This window comes from Homo sapiens, chromosome 6 (genome assembly GCF_000001405.40).
Source record: "Homo sapiens chromosome 6, GRCh38.p14 Primary Assembly".
Taxonomy (NCBI): Eukaryota; Metazoa; Chordata; class Mammalia; order Primates; family Hominidae; genus Homo; species Homo sapiens.
In genome coordinates, this window is record NC_000006.12 from 148,597,516 (window position 1) to 148,602,217 (window position 4,702).

The 4,702-nt window shown below is 40.2% G+C and overlaps 9 annotated features.

The window, feature by feature from the left end:
* Nucleotides 1–3,173: part of a meiotic recombination region, noted in NCBI's record as "this region was identified as a recombination hotspot within the HapMap CEU population", that runs on past the window's edge. NCBI's record gives the evidence for it as "EXISTENCE:nucleotide sequencing assay evidence [ECO:0000219][PMID:20981099]".
* Nucleotides 1–4,702: part of a biological region, named in NCBI's record as "meiotic recombination hotspot D", that runs on past both edges of the window.
* Nucleotides 1–4,702: part of a meiotic recombination region, noted in NCBI's record as "this region was identified as a recombination hotspot within the HapMap YRI population", that runs on past both edges of the window. NCBI's record gives the evidence for it as "EXISTENCE:nucleotide sequencing assay evidence [ECO:0000219][PMID:20981099]".
* Nucleotides 351–3,328: a meiotic recombination region, noted in NCBI's record as "meiotic double-strand break mapped by DNA meiotic recombinase 1 chromatin immunoprecipitation followed by single-stranded DNA enrichment and sequencing in the germ cells of some male individuals with the PRDM9 A/A, PRDM9 A/B and PRDM9 A/C genotypes". NCBI's record gives the evidence for it as "EXISTENCE:chromatin immunoprecipitation-seq evidence [ECO:0000229][PMID:25395542]".
* Nucleotides 879–2,178: a meiotic recombination region, noted in NCBI's record as "crossovers mapped in sperm cells of males of European ancestry". NCBI's record gives the evidence for it as "EXISTENCE:DNA detection assay evidence [ECO:0005519][PMID:18650392]".
* Nucleotides 1,528–1,540: a nucleotide motif, noted in NCBI's record as "nucleotide motif; similarity, but not exact identity (6/7 nucleotides), to the predicted 13-mer PRDM9 A binding motif (LD hotspot motif), CCNCCNTNNCCNC". NCBI's record gives the evidence for it as "COORDINATES:motif similarity evidence [ECO:0000028][PMID:18650392, PMID:19165926]".
* Nucleotides 2,285–2,873: an enhancer, noted in NCBI's record as "OCT4-NANOG-H3K27ac hESC enhancer chr6:148920936-148921524 (GRCh37/hg19 assembly coordinates)". NCBI's record gives its function as "activates a minimal SCP1, AML or CMV promoter by ChIP-STARR-seq in naive H9 embryonic stem cells {active_cell/tissue: H9 hESC(naive)}" and the evidence as "EXISTENCE:reporter gene assay evidence [ECO:0000049][PMID:30033119]".
* Nucleotides 2,478–2,772: an enhancer, noted in NCBI's record as "tiled region #590; HepG2 Activating non-DNase unmatched - State 8:EnhW". NCBI's record gives its function as "activates a minimal TATA promoter and a strong SV40 promoter by Sharpr-MPRA in HepG2 cells {active_cell/tissue: HepG2}" and the evidence as "EXISTENCE:reporter gene assay evidence [ECO:0000049][PMID:27701403]".
* Nucleotides 2,841–2,853: a nucleotide motif, noted in NCBI's record as "nucleotide motif; similarity to the predicted 13-mer PRDM9 A binding motif (LD hotspot motif), CCNCCNTNNCCNC".

Genomic DNA, 4,702 nt, shown 5'->3' on the forward strand with positions numbered 1-4,702 from the left:
GTTTTCAGTCTTGTCTGCTTATTAAGCTAGGTGACAGTTCATCCACAAGGACTCAAATATACAAGTATGGAGTCCTTCTCAGGCCCTATTTAGTTTGCTTTAACACGCCTTAACAAAACTACTTGGAAATTCCCAGGCAAAATGCTAAGGTTTAAGAAAGAGAAATTTGGTATGGAGGGCATGCAGTGCAGGACTATGTGACTTGTTCCAATGACTTATCCTGAGTTATTGTCTCATCTGGTGAATGGGCTGGCACCATCTTGGGTTTGACAGGGTTGTAAATTAGCTGCAGCCTTAAAGTAATCTCCTAGTCAAGGAGAATTCCATAGGCACCTGGATTGTCTGAAGATTCAGTCTCCAGAACTTCTAAGCAAACATAATTAGATAAACCAGCAATGCAAGGAAGTGCCTAGTGGAAAGAAGGAGAGTAAAGGTTACTATTTCATTAGTAAAAAGTTAATACAAAGGGCCACAGAAAGAAAAGGAAAAAAAAAAGTAAAAATAGAGTACTTAATTACACTCCCATGCCCACTAACCCTCATCTAGTAATAGACAGAGTTATCACATACACACATATGTAGGGGAGATTAAAAAAACTCTTCCTTTCCTCACTTAGCTTCTATGGCTGGGATACTGGAAATTAAACTGAAAAAAGACAGATGAATAAGAGAAAAACACAGTTTATTCACACATGCAGCATGAATACATTCAAGAGAAATCTGGTGATTGGTCTCTCAAAGGGGCGATTAGAACTTGGAGCTTATAGAGCATGTTAACAAAGAATGATAAAGTTGTAGAGAAGTGACAAGGAAAAGGGGCTTAGGCTTTCAGGGGTGGGAAGGTAAATATAAGGGGAAAGACAAGTTGTTTTCCTAAGGTTTGTTATGTAGATTTCATCTCTGGGCTGATAAGAATCTGATTACTAAGAGTTATTCTGCTCTTCCTGGTACAGGAAGGGCACCTTTCTCATGGGAAATTTTATGTCCTACTTTTAGATAGAAAGGGGAAGGTCAGAAAGCTCTTCCTGCATCTGCTGTTTTTCAAGTGTCTTCAGCTCAAAATAATCCTTATGCCAATGGCATATTTTGGGGTGGCATATTCTGATTCCCTACAATAAATACACAGTGAACTAAACTCCCACCTTTAATATTATTGCTCTCTCTCATATTGGCTCTTACTTAATATTAATAATTTCAGCTAACACTTTTGGAACACATTTTATATCCCAGGCACTGTGCTAAGCATGTCATATAATCTATGTCATTTCGTTCTTTCAACAACTCCATGAGACTCAAAGGGGTTAAGTAAGCCTTCCCATGGTCACACGAATAGTAAGTGGGAAGAGACTGAAAAACGAATTTAAGCCTGCAGATTACTTCTAGTTCTCCAAAGCCTCACTAACACTGTTGGGATAAGCTCAGCCAGGAGTTGGAGTGAAGCTATCTTTTCTATGTTTGTATTTTGCTATGCCAAACACCCTTTAAGGCTAAAAGACTCCAGTTATCCATCTTAGCTTGTTGGCCTTGAGAGGTAAGGAAGGTCTTTACACACAATGGGCACTTAAATCCATTTGAATGATGACTCTGCTGCCTTCATAACTTGTCAAGGGTTGGGACTAGAGTCCAGCATTCTGAGCCGCTGGATAAATCTGTCAGAGTGATTGCTGATGGCTTGTTTTCTTTCATTTGGTGGAATATTTATAGAAAAACTTTTAGCAGGCTCCAAAATGTAATATTCTCCAGAGATACATTTTTGGACCTTGAAACTACATCCTACAATGAAAAATAAATTGGTAGGATTTCAGATAAGGCTCCAGTATTGATTTGTAAATACCTCTCAGAGTATTCAGCTATGCTTAGTTTAATTCCGTATTATTCTTATCTAATTCTACCAAAATTTTAAATAAGCTATTAACATTTTTAAAATTGTTTAAAGTAAAAAATTTTAAATTATTTTAGCAATTTTATTGCCAAAAACCAGTTGTTGAGTTATTTCAAAACTTTCTCAGAATCCAGGAGTCAAACAGGAAATTTAGAAAACACGTAGTCCAATATTGTTTTTTGAGAACAGGACAGAGGTACAGTGAGGGGTCTGGATTTGTCTGAAGTCTCAAAGCTAGTCTTTGTCTCAGTTATAAGTAAACAAATCAAATTCAATGATGTAAGGAGATGTTTTGGGAAGTAGTTGTCCTTTTTCTGAATTTATTGCTTATTTTTGTGTCTTCAATGCCTGGCATAATGCAATTACAATACAACTGCTCAAGAAACATTTACTAAGTTAGATGATGTGTCAAAAATGTGATCTCTTTTCAGAAAAAATATTTGCTTTTATTAGTTACTGATCCAAATAATTTTTAAAACAAAAAATGTAAACATATCATAAAAGAAAAATTGCACCAGCCAGAGTTAAACAGTCAAGGAAGACTTTATTCAAGATTGTTGCAATAGGGGAAAGAGATTGAACTCAATTCCACAAAAACAAACGGTGGGAGAGTTTTCAAACTCTGGAATCAGCCAGTGGAAAAGTACTAGAGGGTGGAGAGAGGTGGGTCAATGTGATTGGGCATCTGTGTTTGCTAGCCTGTGTTTATCAAAGCCAGGCTCCTACCCATCCACAGAGAGGGCCATCTTTCTCAGTGATTACATTTCAAAGGGATGGTTCACAGGTCCTTGAGAAAGACATTCCTGGGCTGTAAAACTGGCAAGGAGCTGGGAGAAGATTTACATCTCAAAGGGGGCAGAGAAAGAATTTACAATTGCAAGTTTTCTAAACTAGGTGCTCTAAGAAAAGGAAAGTCAGGGCCCACGCGATGGCCCACGCCTGTAATCCCAGCATTTTGGGAGGCCAAGGCGGGCGAATCACAAGGTCAGGAGATCGAGACCATCCTAGCCAAGATGGTGAAACCCCATTTCTACTAAAAATACAAAAATTAGCAGGGTATGCTGGCACACACACCTGTAGTCCTAGCTACTTGGAAGGCTGAGGCAGCTACTCAGAAGGCTGAGGCAGGAGAATTGCTTGCATCCGGGAGGCGGAGGCTGCAGTGAGCTGAGATCACGCCACTGCACTCCAGCCTGGTGACAGAGCGAGACTCCATCTCAAAAAAAAAATAAAAAGACAGCAGCATTTGAAGGTTAAAAAAAAAAAAAGCAATGGAGCAATGCCTAAAATTCTGAAGGAAAATCTTCTGAAGAAAAACATTTTCTAAAAGAATTTCTACCTATCCATATTATTTATAAGCAAAGCTTGGCTAAGGTGAGTTTTGGGAGTGCAAACTCCCCACAGTTTTACCACTCATGCAATTTTTCTCGAGAAGTTAATATGTACCACCAAAATAGGAGAATGAACCAAGATACAGGAAGGCATGGAGAGTAGGAATGAAGAGATCCCATACAGGAAAGAGGAGAAAGACATCCCCCAGAGGACAGGGCAGGGTGCTCCCCAGGACACAGGCATTTAGATGGAGACAGACTAAAAGAGCCCCAGTAATTTTCCTTATGAAGATTAAAGTGATAGAACTGGAGAAGAGATTGAGATATCTGATGATGACTTAGGGCTTACATTCAGGATAAGGTCATAGAAACCCAACAGACTGAATATACAGACAATGGCCAGACCATATACAAAGATAGAACTCTGACCCACAACTTGGAGTAACCAGCCCCAGAAACCAATTCATTATCTACAGTAACCAGCCCAGGAAACCAGCCATTTTTCTACAAGTCAGATTTGTAGGAAGTTAGACTGTTATCTCTAGCAAGTGGTCCATGAAGGCAAACAGTCCCTGTAACAGTCAGTTAAAACAGTCAGGGACATGGATGAAGTGGAAACCATCATTCTCAGCAAACTAACACAGGAACAGAAAACCAAACACTGCATGTTCTCACTCATAAGTGGGAGTTGAACCATGAGAACACATGGACACAGGGAAGAGAACATCACACACCGGGGCCTGTCATGGGGTGGGGGACTAGGGGAGGGATAGCATTAGGAGAAATACCTAATGTAGATGACAGGTTGGTGGGTGCAGCAAACCACCATGGCACGTGTATACCTATGTAACAAACCTGCACATTCTGCACATGTATCCCAAAATTTAAAGTATAATAATAATTAAAAAAACAGCCAGGATTTGATTAATAACTGACAACTTCCTTAATTTTTGTTCCTTGTTGGGAACAGGACCCCCAAAATCTGGCCATAAACTGGCCCCAAAACTTGCCATAAACAAAATCTCTGCAGCACTGTGCCATGTTCATGATGGCCATAATGCCCACCCTGGATGGTTGTGGGTTTACCAGAATGAGGGCAAGGAACACCTGGCCCACCCAGGGCAGAAAACCACTAAAGGCGTTCTTAAACCACAAACAATAGTATGAGCAATCTGTGCCTTAAGGACATGCTCCTGCTGCAGATAACTAGCCCAACCCATCCCTTTATTTCAGCCCATCCCTTTGTTTTCCATAAGGGATACTTTTAGTTAATCTAATATCTATAGAAACAATGCTAATGACTGGCTTGCTATTAATAAATACGTGGGTAAATCTCTGTTGGGGGCTCTCAGCTCTGAAGGCTGTGAGACCCCTGATTTCCCACTCCACTCCTCTATATTTCTGTGTGTGTGTGTCTTTAATTTCTCTAGCGCCACAGGGTTAGGGTCTCCTCAACCGAGCTGGTCTCAGCAGTTCCTGCTTCCAATTAG